This window comes from Homo sapiens, chromosome 12, assembly GCF_000001405.40.
Source record: "Homo sapiens chromosome 12, GRCh38.p14 Primary Assembly".
NCBI classification, from domain to species: domain Eukaryota; kingdom Metazoa; phylum Chordata; class Mammalia; order Primates; family Hominidae; genus Homo; species Homo sapiens.
In genome coordinates, this window is record NC_000012.12 from 18392828 (window position 1) to 18418817 (window position 25990).

Here is a 25990-nt window from a genome sequence, read left to right on the forward strand (position 1 = left end):
ATAAGGACTGAATTGACCTTGCATAGTTTCTGGTATAAAAAGTTGCCTTAAGAACTGAAGATGACAGAAAATTCTCATAGTCTTCATGACACATATATTGACAATCCATTGTCATACTAGACTATTGTCATCTTAACTAGATGAAGCATCTTTTTCTGTCTTACTTGAAAATGTAAAACCGTGTGTTCAACAAGTGTGCCACAAATAAGAGGCTAGCATATTTACACTTAGAGGTTTTTAATATGAAAAAGATGCCTTGAAATTTTAAATATATTCAAGCAAAAAGAGGTCAAAACCAACAAATAATAATCATGGTAACTCCCTTTAAATATCAGAGGTTTGTGTTTTTAAATTAACCCTGGTGATTTCTAATTGTTTTATATTTCAGTTTCTATTTAAGCTAATAACACTCATAAAATAAGCAACATTTTCCTCTGTTTCACCCACTCAAATAAAATTATTAATGATCAGTGTGGTGCAGTTTTATTCTGGACTGTGAAAATAGATGGAGAACAGCCTTCAATGTGGTGAAACTTGTGTTAGAATCAGATTAACCTCAGTTTCCCAGTACCACATTTTATCATTTAGTTGATGACTTAATTATTCCTTCTTTCAAACTGACCAAAAGTAATCAGAGTGAGGAAGTTCAGACTCAATGAAACTCAGTGAAAATATGCCTGTGATATTTGTAAAAAATAAAAATTGAAAAAAAAACTTCTTGATGTCAACCAAAAAATGCTTCCAAATCTAAAGACCCCAGAATGAAATATATAACAATATATGTTCTAAAATAGATTAGTACTTCTACTTCTACCATGAAGAATACCTAGTGCAAGACTAACCCCCATGACTGACAGAATTATGACAAGAGAAAAATAGATACGAAGCAACTGTTTTCATAAATTAAACAGACAGGACTTGAGGTAAGCCTTGGGATTAAAGTGGCTTTCAGCCTGGAGTCACTTTCTATACCTGGGTCCTCCCACATGACTTGCGAAGGTAGAATATAAGAAGAGAATGCAGCTCCTGCTGAGATATTTTTAAAAAGGCAGAATTTAGAGTTCAGTGATGCTGAGGCAGCTGGCATCTTCAGAGCATCATACTGGAGAGCAGGATGAGAGCTACAGAAATCTGTATTGGAGTCTTCTTAAATATTTGGTTGAGTGCTAAACTACTCAACTTTCCAGGTGGAAACTTTCCAGGGCCTACAAGAGAACTGCTTCAGGGAGATGTAAAATAAATGTGATTTGAGAAGCCACACAATGCTGGGAGACATAGAAATTCTGACCAATAAGAATGGAGAAAGCTCACAGGCTGTCCCTTACATTTAATAAAGAAACCAAAAAGATGCACATTAGGATTAAGTCCACTCTAGCCCTAGATTAAAGACTGTAGTAGACTCAACCTAACAAATCATAAAAACCAGTCTCAAAAAAATTAGGCTGATCTTCCAGTAATTGAACTGTCTACTAAAAAAAATGAGATCTGACCCCTGAAAAATAGCAGAATGCTGACTCTCAATAATGTACTTTTCTAAATGTCTAGCATATGATCAATAATTGAGAAAACTATTGGAAAATGTCTAGCATACAGTCAGTAACTAGGAAAATAATTGGAAAGAATCAGGAAAATATAAACATAGCCTGGGGAGAGGAAGTGGTTAATAGAAACAGATCCAAAGAGTTTTAAATTAGCAAATAATTATTCCAATACAGCTATTATAAAGATATTTATTGATTTTTTAAAAAGATGTATATGAATGAACAAATGAAGAATCTTATTAAAAATGGAAATTTAAGAACTGAAAACACAATACCTAAAATATTTGTTTAAAAAATCAGCAAATGGGCTTAATAGATTGTGAAATGCAAGAAAAAAAGAACGGTGAGCTTGAAGACAGGGCAATAGGAATTATCCCCCATGTTGAGGTACAAAAAGAAAATAAACCTTGAAAATAATGAGAGCGCCTTGTAACCTGAGGGACAATATCAAACAATATGTGTGTATTGGACACACCAAAAAGGAGAAAGATAGTGAGGCAAAAAATAATTAAGGAGATGGCCAAATTTTACAAATTTGATTTAAAAAAAATTAACCTACAAATATAAGAAGTAAAAGGCTTAGTAATCCCTAAGCAAATACATACTCTCCCTTTCTTTCTTTCTTTTCTTTCTCTTTCTTTCTTCTTTTTCTTTCTTTCTTTCTTTGTTTCTTTCATTTTCTCTTTCCTTCCTTCTTTCCCTGCCTCTTTCATTCCTTCTTTCTTTCTTTCTTTCATTCTTTCTTTCTCTCTTTCCCTTCTTTCTTTCTCTCTCTCTCTCACACACACGCACACACAACAAACACCCCCAGGTACCTTATAGAGAAATTGCTGAAAAATAAGATAAATTTAAAAATTTTGAAACATCAGATAAAATAAACAAATTCCATATAGAGAAACAACTATAATATTAATATTATGATGTTCTATATAAAACACTAAATACAGGCCTCTCATCAAAAAAAAAATCAAGACAAAAGGAGGTTGAATACTATCTTTGTGTTAAAGATGAAAACAACTTTTTCAAATTAGAACTCTATACACAGTAAAATTATGTTGCAAAAATTAAGGCCAAATGAAGATATTTTCAACCAAATCCAGCTGAGTTAGTTTAGTATAAGTTCATCCGTACTATACAAAATAGTAAAAGAAGTACATCAAGCTGGAAGAAAATCATACTAGATGGAAACTCAAATTGGTAAGAAGAAATGAAAAATACCCCAAAATATGTAAATAAATAAAAACAGTTTCATTTACACATTTATTAATTTATTTAAAAAGTGATTGAAGAAAAATGAATCACAATGTACTCTGGTTTATAATGTATAAAAAATAAAATTTATAATAACTTCAATAAGAATGAAAATGGAAAATGGAAGTAAACTGTTCCAAGTTTTTCATATTATATGTAAGGATGCATAATGTTAATTCATGGTTGGCTGTAATATGCTTAAACAAAGGATATTTTAATCTCTAGGAAAACCACACCCCTTAAATTTTAAGAGTATATTTAAAAACCAAGGAGAAGATAAAAATGAAATATAACAGGAAAAAAATATGAAAGGAAACATAAAAAAGAAAAAAGGGGACCAAGAAATGGTTTAGACAAACAAAGAAAAAAACACGCCATAGAAACTAATAGCAGTACAGTGAGCCTTTGGTATGGTTAGGTAATCATATCAATAAGACATTAAATGTAAATGCACTAAGAACTCAAATTAAAAAGCAGAAATTGTCAGCCTACATCAAAAAAGCAATATATAATTTTATTCTGTTTACAGGAACATGTATATAAGCAATTAGATTTTATATATAAGCATTTATATATAAGCAATTAGATTAAACATTTTATATATAAGCAATTAGATTAAAAGTAAAAGAATAATACTTTCCAGGAAAATCCTATCACCTTGCTAGATCTAGGAAAAAAAGTGGTAAAGTTCAGCACCCATTCATGATAAAAACTCACAAAACTAGACATAGAATGAAACTTTCTCAACCTTGAAAAGTGATCTATGAAAAGTTTATAGTTAGTATCATGTTAAATCATGCAAGAATGAATGCTTTCTCCTAAGGTTAGAAACAAAGCCACGATGTCTGCTTCAAACATTTCTTTAATGTTGTATTGGAAATCCTAGCCAGCACACAATGTGAAAAAAAAATTAAGGTAAAAATTAAAAAGAAAGAAATAAAACTGACTATTTTTACATAGCATGATTATGTAAAGGTCACAGCATTTGAGATCAATGTACAAGATCTAATTGTGTTCCAGTAAAAATATATATAAAATAAATTCTGTTTTGAAATGTTACTTACTGTAACAAAATTTTATTTACTAAAATTTAGTAAATTATTTAATAAAATTTTATTTACAGAAAAGTGCAAAACTTTCCTAAGGAAAATTAAAGAAAATCTAAATAAATGAAAAAATATACTACATTTATTGATTGAAAGATTCCTGTGGTTAAGATGATAATTCTCTCCAAACTCATCTATAAATAAAATATAATCCCAATGAAAATCCCAGCAGGTTTTTGTAGAAATTAAAAAGCTGACTCCAATATTTATGTGGAATGCAAAAGAGCCTAGAATAGTCAAAGCAATCATGAAAAAAGAACAAAGTCTCACTTCATAACTTGTATGGATTCATGTACTATAAATTTACAGCAATTAAGATAATGTGATATTGCTTAAGGACAGGCAAATAGATCAACAGAATACAATTCAATGTAGATAGAATAGAAAGCCAGAGACCTATTTGTATGTTCAATTTATTTTTGACAAGGCCACCCATGCAATAAATGAAAAATGTACTTTCAGCAAGTAAAATACTGCTTTCAGAATACTTCAGAAAAAATCACAAGAATCAATGTTAAGATAGGCAATGTTTTCTTAAACAAATAAAGAAAGTAATAACTATTTAAAAGTTTCTGAATTGGACATTATCAAAATTTAAAACTATTCATGAAAAGACCCCATTAAAGAAATCTATAGGCAAGCCACATTCTGAGAAAAATATGTGCAAAACATTTATATGGCAAAATTTTTGTATTCAGAGTATATAAAGAAATCATGCAAATGAATCTAAACAAACAAAAAAATTGGGAAAATACATGAGCAGAGAGTTCAAACAAAATATATAAGAAGATAGTATATGAAGAATTGCCTAGACCCCAAGTAAATATAAATTAGAAGCACAATGAGATACCACTATACACCCATTGGAATGGATAACATTGTAAAGACAGACAAAATCAAGAGTTGGCAAGAATGTGGTACAAATGGAACTATCATACTCTGCAGGCAATAGTGTAAAATTTTACAATTACTTCAGAAAACAGTTTCACAATTTCTTGTAAAGATAAATACCTAACATATAACCATGTCCTTCCTCTCATAGATATTTCCTAGGAGAAATGAAAAATACATTCATATAAAAACTTGTGCACAAATGATCACAGCACCTTTATTCATAATACCCCCCCAAAAGGAAGCAACCCAAATGTCCATCAAATAGGAGAGTGAATAAGTAAATTATGGCATAGTTATACAAAGGAATAATATTCATTAATTAAAAGGAATTAACTATTGACAAACTCAACCAATATGGATAATTTCAAAAACATTATATGATGGAGTGAAAGAAGCCATAAATAAAAACATATTTACTCTATGATTCCATTTATATGAGGTTCTAAAAGGTTAATATTTATCAAGAGAGAAAAAAATGATACCAGTGCTTGCCTCTGATGACATCAACAAAACTATTTTATATCTTGATAGGAGTGTGGTTGTTATCTGGTACATGCATTTGTAAAAATTTATTGAACTGAAGCTGCGGAATGTCCTTGAATGTGAATTTGCTTTAACAAAAAGAGCTAAAAAAAAGAAAGAAAGCATTGTTCAGTATTGGGGAAAAAAATTTAATCTGAGCAAATATGTTTTAGTAATTTTACTATGGATTTTTTTTCTTCTGTGGGCTTTTCAGAGGAAAAGGTGGTAGCAAAATATAAAAAAAGGAACCTAACCACACCTTCAAAATCACCTATAATCCAGTCTTTTCTTTTTACAGATGAGGAAAACTTTAAAATGAATTATAGAGAAAGATAGACCTTTAAAAGATTTTTTTATGTTTCATTAGCTTTCTTGGGAGTTTCAGCAGATTCAAGCTCAGTGTCACTTTGGAGGAGAGTGCGCAAAAGCCATTGTCGTGTGAGGGAAGCTGTCCTCCAATTGAACTGTGGTTCTGAATACTTCTACTGGAGTGTGAGCAAAACATGATAAATTGTCAGCAAGTCAAGGCCCTAGTCCTAGATTTAGATCTTTTATTTCAGACTACTCTCCAGGGGCAAATACTTGAGCATCTAAGAAACTAGCATCAATGACATTTTCACGCCAAACTTCCCATGAACTCTGAACATTTAAAGACATAATCCAGGGATGAATTGAGATCTTTGTTTTTGAAGTTAACAACAGCAAAGATTTCTTAACTCCGATAAAACTTGCTTTAAGATGAAGAAATATCATTACTAAAATATGCCATTTTGGCCGGGCGCAGTGGCTCACGCCTGTAATCCCAGCACTTTGGGAGGCCGAGGCGGGCGGATCACGAGGTCAGGAGATCGAGACCATCCCGGCTAAAACGGTGAAACCCCGTCTCTACTAAAAATACAAAAAATTAGCCGGGCGTAGTGGCGGGCGCCTGTAGTCCCAGCTACTTGGGAGGCTGAGGCAGGAGAATGGCGTGAACCCGGGAGGCGGAGCTTGCAGTGAGCCGAGATCCCGCCACTGCACTCCAGCCTGGGTGACAGAGCGAGACTCCGTCTCAAAAAAAAAAAAAAAATATGCCATTTTTTCACAGGCCCACTTGGATCTCAGTTAATTTATAAAAAATAAAAAAAATAAGAAAGTAAACGGTTGATTACCTCTGTTCTAAATAGGATGTGTCGCAGGATTCAGAAAAACTTGGTTTTCCCTAGAGGAGAGAGATTTTGCCAACCAAAATGACATATTAAAAAAAAAAAACACGAATAAGAGTGAACAAAAATAAATGTGAGTTATCTGAATTGATGTTATTTTTTTCAAAATAATAATACAAAAGAATAAAGTTAGTGGAAAATAAACTGATGAAATAACCTATGAAAATATCCGAAGAAGGTAAAAGATGTTTTTGAAAGTAAACTAAAATAAAATTCAAAGAACTACAGTAAGGTTTTCTACTGCATATTTATAGCAACATTTGTTAGTGCAGCAAACTCCAGTAAATTACAGTTTCCAATCTGGTTTTTCAGACTCTCTGAAGAAAAGAAAAGATATTTATGGTTTTATCGCTTCTACTGCAATAATGAAAACTGCTCCCTTCCTTTAGTCCTGGGTAGTGCCCCTGGATGGGATGAAAGGACTGTTTCAGAAATGCATACCATTTTGAGAAGATGGACATTTTCTCAACCTTTAGAGGCTCTTGGGCTTTTGACTTCCAGGTAAGAATTGCATAACAAGCATGATATTACTGACTGAGAAGAACTTGCTTGAAGAGAACTATAGAACCATATAATTAATTCAATAGCTATTCTGTTTGTTCTCAATTTTGATAGTTATGGATATTAATTTTAGATAAATGTAAGCTATGAATATAAATTTTAAACAAATCTAAGCTATAATCATGTCTGCTGCCCTAAGCTTGTAGTATAATAAATTGTAGAAGTTTCTTAAATGAGGATTCTAGTTCTTACAGAAATAATTTAATTAAGCAGGGAAAAATAAAAATCCCTACTTCTTCTCTCAAACTAAAAATGTCTTTAAAAATTAGGATCATTTTTGTACTATTAAAATATGCAAAGTTTAGCAAAATGCCCTGTGTAAAGTAGTTGTACAATTAATATGATAATGATGATGATAGGAATAAAAGAAAAAAATCTATTCCTTGCATGTCCTTGAGATCTTCACTCAGAATCAAATGCATGGAGCACCAGGAAAGGGCTAATGATGTCTTCCTGTTAAGGAGAAGCTTGTAGGAACAACTGTGGTAGCTGGCTCTGGTCCAGGAGAAACAAGTCTTCCTTGGTTTTCCTTTTATATTCAAAGCCAAGAAAAGATATTTTAAGTTTGTCCTGATAGCATCAGCTCACTGATGCCATGAAGAAAGTCTGCAATCTCTTGAGCCAGGCAAAAAATTGTGAAACCCCGCTCTATTCTGAATCCATTCTCAAGAACCCAAGAGGAGAAGAAAGGTGGGAAAGGGAGTTACATGAAGAACTTTCTTCATGTAACCTAAACTGACTTTTAAAGATTTATTTACCAATGAGTGTCCTTCAGAAAACTTCTGGGGTGGGTAAAGGGGAGAGTGGGTTTTTCTTATTATTTGTAAGAGTTACTAGCTTCTCAGTCACCCAAGCTCGAAATTTACATACTATTTTTGTACTCCTCACTTTGAAGATTTTATTAGTTTTATGGCTTCTTCCATTAACTGATGTGTGCTCGGATGCCTACCTCTTTCTTTATATATATAATGGAATATATATATTTATATTTGTTTCTATTTGAGCTTGCAACTTTTTTCTTTTGTAAGCCTTCTTGTGTGGGGTCTTCTCTGACCTTGCCATGTAGAATTGATCACTCCTGGACTAGTACAGTGCTCTGTTACTTTACACATTGCATTTTATGGTAATGTGTTTATATGCAACAGGTAAAATGTGTATATTTTCACTCACATCTGACTCAGAGCTACTCAAGGCAAAACAGATCATCTCAATGTTTCTGTTTCCTGAAGGCTTAGTATTACCTAGGACGTAGTAATTCCTCAGTATTGAACCAATCACTTTCTAAGATGCATTATTATTATTTTTACAGTAGTTTAACTTTAAATTATAAGCAATTTGAGGATATTATCATTATTATTTATTTCCTACATGACTTTGTGCAGTTGCATTAGTTAATAAAATAGTCATGTGGTAATTAACAATTGATTGGTTTCATTGGGATATTCACAATTCATCATGCTAGTGTTTAAAGATCCTTTTGGAAAAAAGGTCTCATTCCCAACATGATCCTACCCCTTTTTCTGGTTTAGATGTAAGAACAGCTAAAATCTGTAAAATTGTTATGCTAAATTCTAGCCGGTTTTTGCTGAAGTTAGACTTGGGCTATTAGCACAATTATTATTTTGTCATTCTTGAGTTGATTAACTAATAGAGAATTCATTCAAAATGTGACAGTCACAACTGACAGAATAAGAGAAAATAAATATCTGACAAGGAAATTTTATTCAAAACATATAAAGACTCTTAAAACTCAACAATAGAAAGATAAATAACCCAACTGTAAAATGGACAAAGGCTCTGCATGGGCATTTCTCCAAAGAAAATACACAAATGCCGAACATTTACATGAAAATATGCTCAATATCATTAGCCATTAAGGAAATAAAAATGAAAATCACCTAACACCTAAGATACCATACTCACTAGGTCTGGCTATAATCAAAAGATACAAAAAGGACAAAAAATAAAAAGTGTTGATGAGGATATGGAGAAATTGGAAACCTCATTTACCTCTGGTGGGAATGCAAAATTGTGTAGCCAATTGGAAAACAGTGTGACAGTTTCTTAAGTGTTAAACCCAGAGTTACTATATGACCCAACAATCTTACTATGAAGTATATACTCAAGATAAATTTAAAAATATGCCCACTCAAAAACTCATGCACGCATGTTTGTAACAACATTATTCACAATAGCCAAAAAGTAGAAACAATCCAAATATCCACCAACTAATCAATAGATATGTAAAATGTGATCTATCCATACAACATAATATTATTTGATAATAAAAAGGAATGAATACTGATATATGCTACAACATGGAAGGACCTTGACAGCATTATGCTAAGTGAAAGAAGCCAGTTACAGAAGACCACATATGGTATGATTCCACTTGTATGAAATGTGCAGAATAGGCAAAGCTCTACAGACAGAAAGTAAATTAGCAGTAACCCAGAGCGAGGGCAAGTTGGGAGAAAATGGAGATTGACTGCTAATGGGTATGAGGTTTCCTTTTGTGGTTATAATTGATATAATTGTTGCACAAATCTGGAAACATGCTAAAAACATTGAATTGTGCACTTTAAATGGGGTGGATTGTATGGTATTTCAATATCGTGGTAAAGGTGTTTAAAATTTTTGAGAAAATAATTGTGAAGGTAATATCTATGAATCTCTCTAATATCTTTAAAGAATAATTTTCTAACAAGATAACTTTCCAAAGTTTAAAGTTCATGGAATATTTTTTAGAAAAATCTTTAATAGAATGAGATTGTAATACTGCTCTGTTTACTCACTTATTAAATAAGAGGATTAGCTGGATGAACTTCAATATCCTCTGATCCCTGATAACTAAGCAGAATTATGCTTCGTGAGTCTTCTTTATCTAAACAGATCTTCAAAATCTGTTTGGCTCATTCAATGTTTTATGTGTCCAGATAAAATTTTTACTTAGTGCCCCTTAGTACTATCTCATATTAACATCCATAACAACCTTATGATGGAAATACTATTATTATTCCTATTTTACATATGAGGAAACTGAGGCCTATAGAGGTTATGTTGCCTCAAGTGCCCTGTAAGTTGAAAACCTGGGAATCAAATCCAGGCATTCATGAGAGCTTATAATCTGAACCATTCTGTTTAAAGCCTTCCTGCATAAACATGCTAGGCTATTTACATATGAAATATCTTGGCTATCCTAAACGGTTTTTTAAAATTGTAAATAGGAGCACTTAGCGATCTCGGTCATGCTCAGATGTTTCTACTTCACTGTGTAATTTCTTTTTTTCTGAATAATCAGATTTTTAGAGGTTATGGGGACTGATTTTAAAGTAGAAGGTGTTTATTAAACTTCATTCAGGGAACTTAGTAGAATCCTGATTTATTTACACACTGGAAAGTTTCTTATCATGCACCAAATAAGGTCACTGCAAATGTTGGAGTATTTCCATTGTACTCATCCTCTGACTCCCACTCTCAGTTTTACTGAACTATTAAAAAACTTGAGGACAAGCTGTTTCCAGAAATGAACCTTTCAACTCCTCTAAATTAAAAAGCTGACTTTTCTGAGAACAAACAGTATGTGCTTATTAAGTGAGTTGTCAGAGTGAGTACTTGAGAGATCTATATTTTTCCTCCTTTGAACAATCTATTTTTTTAAATGGTTTAACCTCTTGACAACTGGTGTGCTCCATTTCCAGCTTGGGGAGTTTTTAATATTGCTATTTACTTAATCTGTCCAAAGGTTCACCATCTCCTTTTACTTTAATTTTAGCAAGAGGCATGATGAAATTTAATTTACCTAGGATGGGCCATACAGTGTTAATATTTCTACTACTGAGTGCCAGCAGAGAGCTCCCTGGGTACTGATAACTTCCATTAGAGAAGGGGGTGCTGTCAGGAAAACAGAGACCAAGGGCTAAGGTCTGTGGTTCCTGGCAGATGGTTGCTATTTTCCTGAACCCTCATTCCCAGGCACAACTATTCAACTGCTAATAACAAGCAAAAATTACCCAAGGAATTAAAAGTCAGTTCAAGGAAAGTATTCATTTAAAAATAGCAACTTTGAATTGGCATCAGAGGATTACATCAGAAGCTTAAATAAAAATTTGACAAGGTATGAGAACTTGCCATCCCACATGATGTAAAATTATTGTTTTGCAAGAAGAAAAGCAATATTTAACAGAACAGTGCCTTAGCTTCCAAAATTAGGTTCCTTGGAAAAATATTTCCAAAATATTTTTTTTCTCCAAACCATTGTATTCTTTATTGTACATTTAATTTATACTGATGCCATTGTTTACTAACATTGTAAATAGAAAGAATGGAATATGGCATAGGGAGGCAGTTAAAACTCTCACATTTGACTGATTAAATTATGAATGATGGTGTATCTTTTCCATTTATTTATTGAACAAAAATATGTGTACAGACAAATTGGTAGGCACTGAATCAAAGAGGTAGATGAATAAGCCATAGTGACTGTCTCTAAACAAGGTACAATTTATAGGGAGAGACTCAAGCTAGAGGTTACCAGGCAATGTGCTCTGTACCATCACCAAAATAAGTATTAAGTACTCTACGAGCCCAAAGGAGAGAGAGGAAAATTCTTTCAAGGAAAGTAAGGAAAAGTTCACAAAGAAATTGGATTCTGACTTGAAATATTCATAGGAATTTTCTGAGTGGAGAAGCGGGGAAATGACATTCCAAGAAGGAAGACTAGTGTGTGCATGGTTATACAGGTTCAGAAAATAGTGAATCATTTTATATAACATTAGAAGAGAATTGTATCAGGAAACAAAGTTGAAAATGGTGGTTCAATTTAGATTGTTTTGGGCCTGCTGAGCCAGGTAGGTACTATGAACTTGTTATGGCATACCATGGAATTTTGTTAAGAACAGGAGTCATAAAATCAGATTTGTGTTATATGTGCACAAATCTGGCATCAGTATAAAGAACAGATTGAAAAAAGAAGAAAATGAGAGAAAGAATATTAGATAGATAATAGATATTGAAATAATCCATTTGAAAAATGGTCTGGGACTGAACTAAGAAGTCTAAGCAGTAGGAACGCACAAAGCAGATTTGAGAGAAGTTTCAGAGGAAAGTAAAAAAGAGAGAAGAAATAAGGAAGACTTTAAGCTTTCAGACCTGGGAAACTTGATAGATAATTGCATCATTCACCAAGATAAAAGTTTTAGATGAAAGAGCAAATTTACGTAGTGAACGTTGAAAAGTTCTATTCTGGATATGTCACATTTTTAAAAACCCATGAGACACATAGAAGAAGATGCCTGGTATGCAGTTGTGTATACAGGTCTGAATTTTAGCAGATAAATCAAAACTTGAAAAACAATGTGGGAGTTGTTGGCTTTCAGGCAGTAGTTGAAGCTACGGAAGTAGAGGATGTGTGACAAGTACTGTGTGTAGCTATAGAGAGGAAGTATAGAAAGAGGCCAGAGATGGAACTCTGGAGAACAGCAACATTTGTGTTGTTGTTGTTGTTGTTGTTGTTGTTGTTGTTGTTGTTGAGATGGAGTCTTGCTCTGTCTCCCAGGTTAGAGTGCAGTGGTGCGATCTCGGTTCACAGCAACCTCCGCCTCCCCGGGAGAACAGCAACATTTTAAGAACAGTGCAAAGCAAGAAAAACCAGGAAAATAAACTGAAAAAAAAGTGACCAAAAGGTTGCAGGAGATCCAGAAAAGGGTGGTATCTTAGAACTCTTGAAAAAGATTTTCAAAGGCTTTAAAGAAGTATTAAATAGAATTAGGTCTAAAAACAGATTAATGAATTTGGAAATCAGGTAGTCACTGATGATATCAATGAGAGCAGTTTTTTAAATTTAGTTTTAATTGACATAATAATTGTATATATTTATGTGGTACAATATAATCTTTTGATCTATATATACATTGTAGAAAGATTAAATAAAGCTAATTAACAAAGTCATCATCTCACAAACTTATTTTTGTGTTTAGAATGTTAAAAATTTATTTTTAGCAATTTCAAAATATATGATACATTGTTATTAACTCTGATCTCCACGCAGTGCAATAGATCACAGAAATTTACTCCTCCAAGCTACTGAAATGTTGTACCCTTTGACAACAATCTCCTCTTTTTCCATTTCTCCTCTCCCCAAAGCCTCTGGTAACCACCTTTCCATTCCGTTTTTATGACACTGACTTTTTCAGATTCCACATTTAAGTGAGATTATTAAAATATTTGTGTTTCTGTGCCTGGCTTATTATACTTAGCATAATGTCCTCCAAGTTCATTCGTGCTATCATAAATAACAGAACTTCCTTCTTTTTAAGGATGAACAGTATTACATTGTGTGTACATACCACAGTGTCGTTATCCATTCATCCTTTAATGGACACTAAGGTTGCTTCTATATCTTGGCTATTGTAAATAATGCTTTCATGAACATGGGGGTACAGATATCTCTTTGACATACTAATTTTAATTCATTTGGATATATATCCAGAAATGAGATTACTGGGTCGTATTTTAATAGTGAAGTTAGATTCCATACTTCAAGTTCCTAAAAAGGAATAGGGAGATATAAATGGTGCCTCTTGGAAAAGAATTGATGATAAAGGCAAAAAGATAGCTAAAGTTGGAAGTGGTCAGAAAAACATGTTTGATGTTTGGGGTTTGTATCCCTTTTTAAATAAAAGAGCTTCCAGCGTGCTTACAAGGTGAAAGGAAGGATATTTGAAGGGAAGATCAGAAAAGAGATAGATAGGTGAAGTAGCAAAATGGGATGGTACTAACAGCCAACAGCCTGGAACACAAGTGCAAGCAAGCATTTTATCCAGGGAAAAGAGTGTAACTTCTTCCTCTCAGGTGAGAGGGAAGGAAAAATATGAATACAATTATAGATAAGTGTGGATACAGAAGAGAAAAATGTGGAAATTTCAGTATTCCCTATCGAGGAAGAGTGAAGGTGAGAATGAAGAAGGTGGAGTTATATAAACACAAAGATACATATTTTGTCCTTGTATGCTTTTGGAGTTTCTTGAGTTATTTCCAGATTTCACAGTTGATAACATAAGCTTTGAAATCAGACTTATCTGGTTCTACCAGTTATTCCTTGAATGACCTTGGACAAGTTTATTTAACTTTAAAACAAAGAGTAATATTATATACCTCCTAGGGTTCTTGTCTGGAACAAATAAGGTAAGGTACATATGAGAGCATTCAATAAATGCTACCAAACATTCTTATCATGAATCCTTCATTATAATTACATTTTAAAGAGAATTTTCAGCTTTCAGATTCTTTCATTGCCAAATGTTAAATATAAATAAATTCATGAGAAATATTTAATTTCTATTAAACATAAATGACTTAAACACACTTGTTAAAACTTACATGATAAAGAGTTAGCATCTTAATAATATTTTATAATTGAAGGACATAATTTACAAAGCATTTCACAATATATGACTTGAAATACAGAAAAACCTCCTTAATATTAGTCCCAACATCTATTTCCTCCATTTTACTGATCTCCATTTTACAGATGAAGACATTGAAACCCATTTGTTTATTCATTTATTCAATACGTGTATATTGATGGCCTACTCACCTTAGACACTTTGCTAGGCCCTGAAACTAGCAAAAAGAAACATGATCTTTATTCATGGTCTTGCAATCTTCTGGAGGTAGATAATAGGCCATTACCAAATTATGAGTGTAAAACAACAGTTGTTATCACAACTCTGAATAAAAGCTACATAATCCTATGATAACATACAACAAAAGAACCAAACCTTTCTTCAAAGGAGAAAAGTCTTCCTTAAGTAAGTTATATTCGAGCTCAAATCTAAAGGATAAGTGGGAATGAATTGACAAAAGGGAAAGATTAAGAGAAGGATTTTCCGGGAAGAAAGAACTTAAATATGACTAAGTCTTGAGACAGGAACTGCACATAGGAAACTGGAAGAGAGACAGTGTAGCTGAAGTCCAGGGGAGGAGTACATGATTTAAGATGAACTGACATTTGAAGGTCAAACTAGAAGACCATGTTGAGGACTTCTAAAGCAGGACCAAGTTGGGCAAATTGGCCTTTATGCTAGTAGCAACAGTAAGGCATAAATGATTCTAAGTAACAGAATATTTTGAACAGATTTGCATCTCTTAAAGATCACTCTGGTTTCTGAGTGAAGCATAGATTTGGTGAGGAAAGCAAAAATAAATGAGCTTCCATTAAGTCTTTGCCCATGACTATGTTCTGAATGGTATTGCCTAGGTTTTCTTCTAGGGTTTTTATGGTTTTAGGTCTTATGTTTAAGTCTTTAATCTATGTTGAGTCAATTTTTGTATAAGGTGTAAAGAAGGGATCCAGTTTTAGCTTTCTGGATATGGCTAACCAGTTTTCCCAACACCATTTATTAAATAGGGAATCCTTTCCCATTGCTTGTTTGTGTCAGGTTTGTCAAAGATCAGATGGTTGTAGATGTCTGGCATTATTTCTGAGGCCTCTGTTCTGTTCCATTGGTCTTTATATCTGTTTTGGTACCAGTACCATGCTGTTTTTATTATGGAAGCCTTGTAGTATAGTTTGAAGTCAGGTAGCATGATGCTTCCAGCTTTGTTCTTTTTGCTTAGGATTGTCTTTAACAAAAGCCAAAACAGACAAATGGGATCTAATTAAACTAAAGAGCTTCTGCACAGCAAAAGAAACTATTATCAGAGTGAAAAAGCAACCTACAGAATGGGAGAAAATTTTTGTAATCTAGCCATCTGACAAAGGGCTAATATTCAGAATCTACGAAGAACTTAAACAAATTTAAAGAAAAAAGCAAACAACCCCATCAAAAAGTAGGTGAAGGACTTCTCAAAAGAAGACATTTATTCAGCCAACAAACATATGAAAAAAAGCTTATCATAACTTGTCGTTAGAGAAATGCAAATAAAAACCATAATGAGATACCATCTCAGGACAGTTAGAATGGCGATCATTAAAAAGTCAGGAAACAACAGATGCTGGAGAGGATGTGGGGAAATAGGAACGCTTTTATACTGTTGGTGGGAGTGTAAATTAGTTCAACCTTTGTGGAAGACAATGTGGCAATTCCTCAAGGATCTAGAACTAGAAATACCATTTGACCCAGCAATCATTTACTGGGTATATACCCAAAGGATTATAAATCATTCTACTATAAAGACACATGCACATGTATGTTTATTGCAGCACTGTTCACAATAGTAAAGACTTGGAACCAACCCAAAGGCCCATCAATGATAGATTAGATAAAGAAAATGAGGCACATATACACCATGGAATACTATGCAGCCATAAAAAAGGATGAGTTCATGTCCTTTGCAGGGACATGGATGAAGCTGGAAACCATCATTCTCAGCAAACTAACATGAGAACAGAAAACTAAACCCCAACTGTTCTCGCTTGTAAGTGGGGGTTGAATAATGAGAACACATGGACACAGGGAGGGGAACATCACACACCAGGACCTGTTGGGGAGTGTGGGGCTAGGGGAGGGATAGCATTAGGAGAAATACCTAATGTAGATGATGGGTTGATGGATGCAGCAAACCACCATGGCATGTGTATACCTATGTAACAAACCTGCCTGTTCTGAACATGTACCCCAGAACTTAAAGTATAATTTAAAAAATAAAAAATAAAAATAAGCTTCCTGTTAGGAAGCAATGGAAGTAGTTTAGGTGTCAGAGAATGGCAGTCATCCTCGGAAGGTGGCAGCAATGATGTAATTAAATGAACAGAATGAGAAAATGGGAGTGAAAATGGCAGAATTGAATGGAGAGGGTCTGTGAAAAAGAGATGTGTCAAGGATGTATTAGTCTGTTCTCACATTGCTATAAAGAAATGCCTGAGACTGAGTAATCTATAAAGAAAAGGGGTTTGTCTCATGGTTTTGTAGGCTATACAGGAAGCATGGTTGGGGAGGCCTCAGGAAACTTACAACCATGGTGGAAGACAAAGGGGAAGCAGGCACACCTTCACATGGCTGGGCAGGAGGAAGAGATGGGGAGAGGTACCACACACTTTAAACAACCGGATATCATTAGAACTCTATCACTAGAACAGCACTAAAGGGGGAAATCTGCCCCCATGAGTGAATCACCTCCCACAAGGCCCTACCTCCAGCACACTGGGGATTACAATTCAACATGAGATTTGGGTGGGGACACAAATCCAAACCATATCAAGGCTCAGTTCTATGTTTCTGTCTTATGTAAGTAGGTCATAATAGAAACATTCACCAACATGGGGCACACTAGCTGACTAGCAAATTTTAGAAGAGCCTTATTGTTCAGGCCAGGCATAGTGGCTCACGCCTATAATCCCAACACTTTGGGAGGCCGAGGTGAGGTTGGCAGATCATCTGAGGTCAGGAGTTTGAGACCAGCCTGGCCAACATGGTGAAACCCTGTCTCTACTGAAAATACAAAAATTAGCCAGGCATGGTGGCACAGGCCTGTAGTCCCAGCTACTCAAGAGGCTGAGGCAGGAGAATCACTTGGACCTAGGAGGTGGAGGTTGCAGTGAGCCAAGATTGCGCTACTGCACTCCAGCATGGGCAACAGAGTGAGACTCCATCTCAGAAAGAAAAAAAAAAAAAAAAAAGATTATTTTTCAGATTAGGATCCATTGGCTTTGAGGTGTCATGAAATAGTTGCATTTACAGATTTGGTTGTTCAAAAAGTCTAAGCTAGAGACTCCAATTTGTTTTGTAATCATCCACAGAAGGATGTGAATTAAGTGAAAGATATAGATGAATTTGCTTAGAGAGAGGGAACATAAGGCAATAAAAGAACAGTCTCGATGTTTAAACTCAAAATTTCTATCCTTTTCAGTGCATCATGTTACTTTTACATATAATGTTTATGTTTAGTGCATCCAAACATAATATCTACATGGTGCTTTCAGTACACTACTGGCTTTATGACAGTGACTTTTTAAGATTAGCTACATGTAAAATCAACGTGTAATTATATAAGAGGAGCGAAATCAAGAACTGCTTTTTAATTGTAAATAGCAATTTTAATTCACTAATACAATGACCATCTAGTTAATTCCCAATTTCTATATGCAAGTCCATATACTATCCATCAGGAAATATCTCTGTATGGCTTCCATGTCTCCTTCGGTCTGAGATTCATTATTATTCCTGTTATATCATGACTGGGTCAATGTCCCAGTCCAGTTAGACAGATTACATTGCTTACTATTAAATATCTTTACTGATCCATTTAGAATGCAATAAAATAAATAATATACCCAAGATAATCTTGTGATTTTTGTATAAGTAAATATAAAAATATCCAGTCAAAAAAATGAAAAGTCCTTGCTAGGGGTGCTGTAGAAAGCCTAATGGCCTAGTGTTTTGGATATCTGGATGATAGTTTCAGTGACACAAACAAATGGTGTTGGGAAAACTGCTTATACTCCGAGTTTGAGTTTTTTCATCTGTATAAGGAGATTAAACTAGGTCTCAAGTTTCTTTGGGTTCTAATATTCTGTAACCATATAAAAATCCTTGAAAGAACATGAATTATTCAGTAGATAGACATTTACAATCATCTTAAAAAAATCCTATTCACCACTTTGCTAGAAAAAAAAATTCTTGTCACATCTGATCATTTTTAGTACTAGAAAAATAGCAAAGATATTCATATTGACATTTTTCTTCCAAGCTGATGCTGAGTGTGTCATCAGACTCAAAATCTGTTGGAGAAACAGTTCTGCACTTCTGATGATTTTCTAATTCTAACCTGACATTGGGGCTTTTAGCTGTGAATAGCCTCATGGCATATTCTGCATGAATTCTTGCTGTGTATTCTGAAGTCTGACATTTCCATTACACTTAAATTTGATCTCAGATTTCTTTGCTTTTCAGTTTACTCAAAGTTGCTTTTTTAAAAGGTTGACATTTGTTACATCGCATTTGGCTTTCACCCATCACTTCAAAAGTTCTTTGAGTAAGATATTTTCCCTATACCCTTTTCAAACTAGAAAAGAGGAACAAGTGAAAAAAACAATAAGGGGAGAAAATCTAAAAAAGGAATAGAAGTGTTTTTTTTACTGTCAAATGGAAGAACTTGAAAAATATATTTTTCTGTTGAAATTTTATTTCATGACTCCACCGGCCCTATTGACATTTGCCTAAATCCTCTGGATATTCCTACAGTGCTCTGAGATGAGAGGGACTGTAAATGTTTGAGAAAAGAGAAGAGTAATGACGATTCCCAAGTCTGAATGTTGGTCAGATGACTTCACAGATAATTTGAGCCCAGAGAAAACACAGGCTGAGAAACAGTCCACAAGTGCTAATTCCTTAACTTATGGCCACATAACAATGATCCATGCCAAACTGTGCTGTGTACATCAGAGGTTCTAAAAGTGAGGCCTGAAATCCCCCAAATGCTTACAGGGGTGTTACAAGGCTAAAATTATTTCCATAATAATTCTAAGATGCTATTTGCCTTTGTCACACTCATTTGCTCATGACTGTAGGGTGGGGTTTTCCAGGGGCCACATGATTTAAAATAAGGCAACAGATTTAACGTGGAAGCAGTAAGAGAATCCAGCTCTCTTTCATTAAGCCACATATTAAAGAGACTCGCAAAAATGTAAAACAATATTACTAATCTCACCAAATAGTCTTTGTTTTGGAAATATTCTTTTCAGAAATATATTATTTATGTTAACATAAAATGGGTTTATTAATGTGATTGCAAATGAATTGATAAATATTTCTTAAATGTCCTGAATTTATTTCTAATATAATTATTGATAGATATCATTCACATAAACCAAAACTCTTTGAAGTCTTCAATAATTTTTAAGAATGTAAAAATGTCCTGATACCCAGCATTAGAAAAGGCCACTGTTGTACAACAAATCCTAACCATTGGTCACTTATTACCTCCACCTTGAGCTGGAGAGTTACCTAAACACTTGGTGCTCTTCCTTCCCTGCACGTGTAAGCATTACCATTTCAACTTAATCCTTTGCTTGGCCCTCCATTTTGTGTTTTACCCTACATTGTTGGCAAGATATAGAGTTGCTATTTCATTGAAGTTCCTTTGAAAATAATCATGAAGTTGCTTTAATTATACCTTTTCCACCTTCTGAGTTTTTAGCCATGTGTCTTTGATTCTTTTTATTAACCCTTACAATCTTAGCCTTCATAGAGTATTTTTTTCTTTGTCTCTCAGTGTCTTCATTGGACAATGGCCCATGTTCAAGTGTAGATAATTTCTTAATGGTTAATGTACAGAGTTATATTTATCTTAGCGATGAGATCTTGTCCTTTAACAGATTCCAGAGACTCAATTGTTAGCTCAACTTGGAGGCCAATTAAATCCTGAAACAGAGAGACAGAGTGATTTGTGTTTCCTCCCTGTTAAGACACATTTGGGAAAATAAATTAAGTAACATAAAGTGCTTAGGTGAACACTTAGAGAATAATGAACTACCTTAAAGAATTGATTATTGTACATGAATTCTTGTCAAGCCTAATTTTAAGAAGTATTTTTTTCATAATAAATGAGAATTTCTTTTGCTTTACATGATCTGCTTCCCAAGAAATAATGAAATTTTATTGACCTTTATCTTTTTTATATCTCAAGCCAGATGTCCATTTGTTACATTGTAATAATCCATTTTATGATTGATTATAAGGAAGTTTCTTATAAATGTAATTAAGGTCCTAGTTGACATCAGCCTCATGAATCTCCTAGCAGTACTTTGTTTAAGTCCCATACTCAAAGTGTAATATTCACTTCAATAGTAATTAGTAGTTCCAAGGTTAGCAGAATTGCTAAAGAGTGTCTCCTGGTATGATATAAAGGAATTATATGTGCATTTTTCAAGCAAATCTAATAAAGCAGGATAACCTGGCTTGTGGAAAATTCAAAATAGGTTGTAGTTTTTCTGTTACATATGACATTTCAGTCTGTAAATATCACACCAAAGTCAGAGAAATAATGCGTAGCCCTCACCTCATTGAGGATCAAGTTACTGAGAATGAAATGCCAACAACTATATCCCAAAAGAGTGTTTAAATAATTTCAGATAATATCACAGAAAAGAAATGCCAGGATTTGTGGAACATATTTGTCCATCGATCTATACCTGAGTTCAGGAGCCCTTTTTGAAAAGGTATCAAGTTAAGCATAAATTCTCCAGAGGTATTCTATGTTAGAAGAAAATTTTAAGGCAACTAAAAAGTAGAATGCTTGCTCTTTCACGCAACAATGTATACTCTTAAAAGGGCATATGATTTGAAGCTTTTTTCTAGTGTTAGTCATGAGTTCGTAATTATTCATATATATTCATTAACTAGTTGGACAAGCTTTACTTTTAAAAAGTATTATTCGTTTTCTTAGCAATTAATAAAACTTTCGTATAGAAAATTTGAAAAACTTTTTAAAACTTAGCTTAAAAAAGAAAATTAAAGTAATCTATGACACCTCCATTCAGATATTTGGTATTAATGTTTTCATCCTTCTCATCTTTTTGTTAATCATATTGAGAGACATATACATATTTTAAAAATGGCATTATACTACAAAAAATGGCTCTTAGTATTTTTATTTCATTAAACTTTTTTACTATTTTTAAGGAATGCATATATTCCATCACATAGTTATATCATATTTAATTTAACTATTAATTTTTAGACATTTATATTATTCCCAATTTTGTTTGCATACACATACATATCTTCACACACGTCACTCATCATATTCTTAAAATAAATTCCCAAAAGGTAAATAGATAGATCAAAAAAAATAAGCACACTTAAATTTTGTTTTTGGTTTTGTTTTAATACATGTTGACCTATATTGCCAACAAGTATGAAAGAGCCCATGTTGCAGGAACTTCAGCAGTACTGCTGGCATCATTTTTAATGCGGCCAACACTTCCTAAAATAGTCAAATGCAAGCTATGTTCGGACATGCTTTAATGTCAAGTTAGGCCTTAGTCACATCTCAGAATGTCATGTGGTTAGTTTTATAGCTATTTCTCTTTCAGCTTCTTCTGGAACTTCAAGCAATAGTAATAAATAAACAGAGACATCCCTTTCCATTAAAGTGCAAAAAATTATTCCCAGCATTTGCATATATTGATACAAATACACAATTTTCCTTTTTGACTATATAGGTACTGTATTACTAATTTTTTGTTCTCCTGTTTTTGAAAGAAAAATGCAGGCATACCTTACTTTATTGTGCTCTACTTTACTGTAATTCACAGATAGTGTGTTTTTACAACTGAAGATTTGTGGCTTCCTTGAGTCAAGAAAATCTATCGGTGAGGTTTTTCCAGCAGCATGTGCTTACTTTGTGTAACTATGTCCCATTTGGAAATTCTCACAATATTTCAAGTATCATTGTTATTATTATATCTGTTATGGTGATCTGTGATCAGCGATTGCTGATGTTACTATTGCAATTGTTTTGAGGCACCACAAGGTGCACCCACAGTACAGAGTGAACTTAGTCCATTAATGTTGTGTGTGTTCTGACTCTTCCACCTGCTGGCTGCTCCCTGTCTCTCTCCCTTTCCTTGGGCCTCCCTGTTCCCTGAGACCCTACAATATTGAAACTAGGCCAGTTAATAACCCTACAATGGCCTCTAAGTAGTCACGTGAAAGGAAGAGTTATATGTCTTCCACTTTAAATCAAAAGCCTAAAACGATTAAGCATAACGTGAAAGGCATGTTGAAAGCTTAGATAGGCTAAAAGCTAGGCTTCTTGTGCCAAACAGTTAACCAAATTGTGAATGCAAAGGAAAAGTTCTTGGAGGAAATTAGAAGTGCTATTCCAGTGAAGACAGACTGATAAGAAAGTGAAACAGTCTTATTGCTGCAAGGGACAAAGTCGGAGTGATTTGGATATAAGATCAAATCTCACAACATTCTCTGAAGCCAAAGCCTAATCCAGAGCAAGGCCCTAACTCTCTTCAATTTCATGAAAGTTAAGAGAGATGAGGAAACTGCAGAAGAAAAGTTTGAAGCTAGCAGAGTTGGTTCATAAGGTTTAAGAAAAAAGCCGGGCGGGCGCAGTGGCTTATGCCTGTAATCCCAGCACTTTAGGAGGCCGAGGCGGGTGGATCATGAGGTCAGGAGTTCAAGGCCAGATGGCCAAGATGGTGAAACCCCGTCTCTACTGAAAATACAAAAATTAGCTGGGTGTGGTGGCGGGTGCCTAAAATCCCAGCTACTCAGGAGGCTGAGGCAGGAGAATCACTTGAATCTGGGAAGCAGAGGTTGCAGTGGGCTGAGATTGCACCACTGCACTCTAGCCTGGGCAATGGAGCAAGACTCCATCTCAAAAAGAAAAAGAAAAGAAAAGAAAAGAAGGAAGGAAGAAAGCAAGCAAGCCGTATTTGTAACCTAAAGGTGAACCAGAAAGTGCTGATGTAGAAGCTGCAGCAAGTTATCCATAAGATCCAGCTAAGGTCATTGAAGACTGTGGCTACACTAAGCAACAGATTTTCAATATAGATGAAACAACCTTCTATTGGAAAAAGATGCTATCTAGGATTTTCATAGCTAGGGAAGATAAGTCAATGCTGGGCTTCAAGGCTTCAGAAGACAAGCTGACTCTCTTGTTAGGACTATGCAGCTGGCGATTTTAAATTGAAGCCAATGCTCATTTACTATTTCAAAAATCCTGGGGTGCTTCAGAATTCTGCTAAAATGACTCTGCCTGTACTCTATAAATAGAATAACAAAGCCTGGATGACAGCACATCTGTTTACAGCATGGTTTACTGAATATGTTAAGCCCACTGTTGAAACTTACTGCTCAGAAAAAAAGATTCTTTTCAAAATATTACTACTCATTGACAATGCACCCAGTCACTCAAGAGCTCTGATGGCGATGTATAGGGAGGTTAATGTTGTTTTCATGCCTGCTAACAAAACATCCATTCTGAAGCCTTGGATCAAGGAGTCATTTTGACTTTTAAGTCTTATTATTTAAGAAATATGTTTCATAAGCCTACAGCTGCCATAGACAGTGATTCCTTGGATGGATCTGGGTAAATTGGAAACCTTCTGGAAAGGATTCACCATTCTAGATATAATTAAGAACATTGGTGATTCATGGGAAGAGGTCAAAACATCAACATTAACAGGAGTTTCAAGAAGTAGATCCTAATCCTCATAGATGACAGTAAGGGGTTCAGGTCTTCAGTGGAGGAAGGAACTGTAGATGTGGTAGAACTTATAAGTGAACTAGAATTAGAAGTGGAGCCTGAAGATGTGACAGAATTGCTGCAATCTCATGACAAATTTGAAGGGATGAGGAGTTGCTTCTTATGGATGAGCAAAAAAGAGTGGTTTCTTGAGATAGAATTTACTCCTGGTGAAGATGCTGCGAACATTGTTGACATGATAACAAAGGATTTAGAATCCTATATAAACATGATTGAGAAAGCAGTGGCAGGGCTTGAAAGAATTGACTTCAATTTTGAAAGAAGTTCTACTGTTAATAAAATGCTATCAAACAGCATCACATACTACAGAAAAATCTTTCATGAAAAAGAGTCAATCGATTCAAGCTTCATTGTTGCCTTTATTTTAAGAAATTACCACAACCACCCCAACCTTCAGCAACCACCATCCTGATCAGTCCACAGGCATCAACATGGACCGAACACCCTCCACCAGCAAAAAGATTAGAACTTGCTGAAGGCTTAGTTTATTGTTAGCATTTCTTAGCAACAAAGTATTTTTAATAAAAGTTTTTAATTTAATGATTTGTTTGACATAATGCTATTACACATTTAGTAGACTACAGTATGGTATAAGCAGAACTTTTACATACATTAAAAAAAACAAAAAAAAAATGTGCGACTGGCTTTATTGTGATATTTTTACTTTATTGTGGTGGTCTGGAACCAAACCTGCAATATCTCTGAGGTATGCCTGTACATCCCTCTCTTTCATTGCCTTCAGATTTGTTTTTCTCCTATGCTTTTGACGGAGAGAAAAAAAGATCTGGAATTTATATGAGTGGTATTTATAAAATTAAACCTATTGCAACCAATGGAAACTATCTCAAAACACAGAAGGAAATAAAATTGACTTTATAGTAGTATTTTTGTAATTATTATCATCATGATCAATGCATTTTTATTCATTGCAACCATATATGAAGTTGCTAAATCCTAGCAATAAAAAAGAAAACATTGAACAATCCTCATCTTCAGTTGAATTAGTCAGTAGTTGAGGAATAAGGACACATATGTAAAAAGATAAATTCTAATACACACTGTCATATCTTAAGTGGGAGTCAACCAGTCAATATCCTTGGCTTTCAGAGAAGTGATTACTAAGGACTAACAGAGGCACCTTCAAGGGAATTTGATCTACATTTTGAAGGAGGACTAGAACTTAAAGAACTAAGGGAGGGTTTTCCAGCAGAAGTTACAGTGTGCACAAAGGTGAAAATGCACATGCATTTTCAGAGTAGAATATATCAATGAGCCAGACTGGTTCAGTGAATATTAATGGTAGAAGAAAAATCTAGAGTGTTTTGCTAGCCTTGAATATTTAGATTGCAGTGTGTACTAAAGGGAGGTTTATTAGATATAGAAAACCATTTAATGTTTTATGACAAATAAAATAGTTTAAGGGATTTGATAAGGTATTACTATTAAAAATGTTAGTATTAGCATGAGGTAATTATGGCCTAGAGTAGACAGCAGCAGAAGAAATTAAAAGCAAGCATTAAAGGCTAGAGCCATTAGGATAGAAAAATCAACAGAACTCGGCAACTGATTAGATGTAAAGATAAGAGAATACTAGGAATTCCAAAAACTTTTATTCAACTGCGCTTGGGCTAGGGAACCATAACTAAATGAGCCTGCCCTCAATGATGTATATAATATAGAATTT

At 34.1% G+C, this 25990-nt stretch overlaps 1 protein-coding gene and 1 long non-coding RNA gene across 18 annotated transcripts in view; one reads left to right on the top strand and one right to left on the bottom strand.

Moving 5' to 3' along the window:
* PIK3C2G (phosphatidylinositol-4-phosphate 3-kinase catalytic subunit type 2 gamma) overlaps positions 1–25990 on the top strand; it is a 483857-nt gene that overhangs the window by 149867 nt on the left and 308000 nt on the right. For all 17 annotated transcript variants that reach the window (XR_931307.3, XM_047429007.1, XM_017019471.2 and 14 more), the window contains one exon: positions 6832–7020. Coding sequence is in view for 16 of the 17 variants with exons in the window: in XM_047429007.1 (XP_047284963.1) it covers positions 6832–7020 (189 nt within the window). In the remaining variant the exon portion in view is untranslated. The remainder of the gene's footprint in view (positions 1–6831; positions 7021–25990) is intronic.
* LOC124902891 (uncharacterized) overlaps positions 20105–25990 on the bottom strand; it is a 32969-nt gene continuing 27083 nt past the window's right edge. Inside the window, exon 3 of the long non-coding RNA XR_007063234.1 lies at positions 20105–20444. This is a non-coding gene — a long non-coding RNA (uncharacterized LOC124902891). The remainder of the gene's footprint in view (positions 20445–25990) is intronic.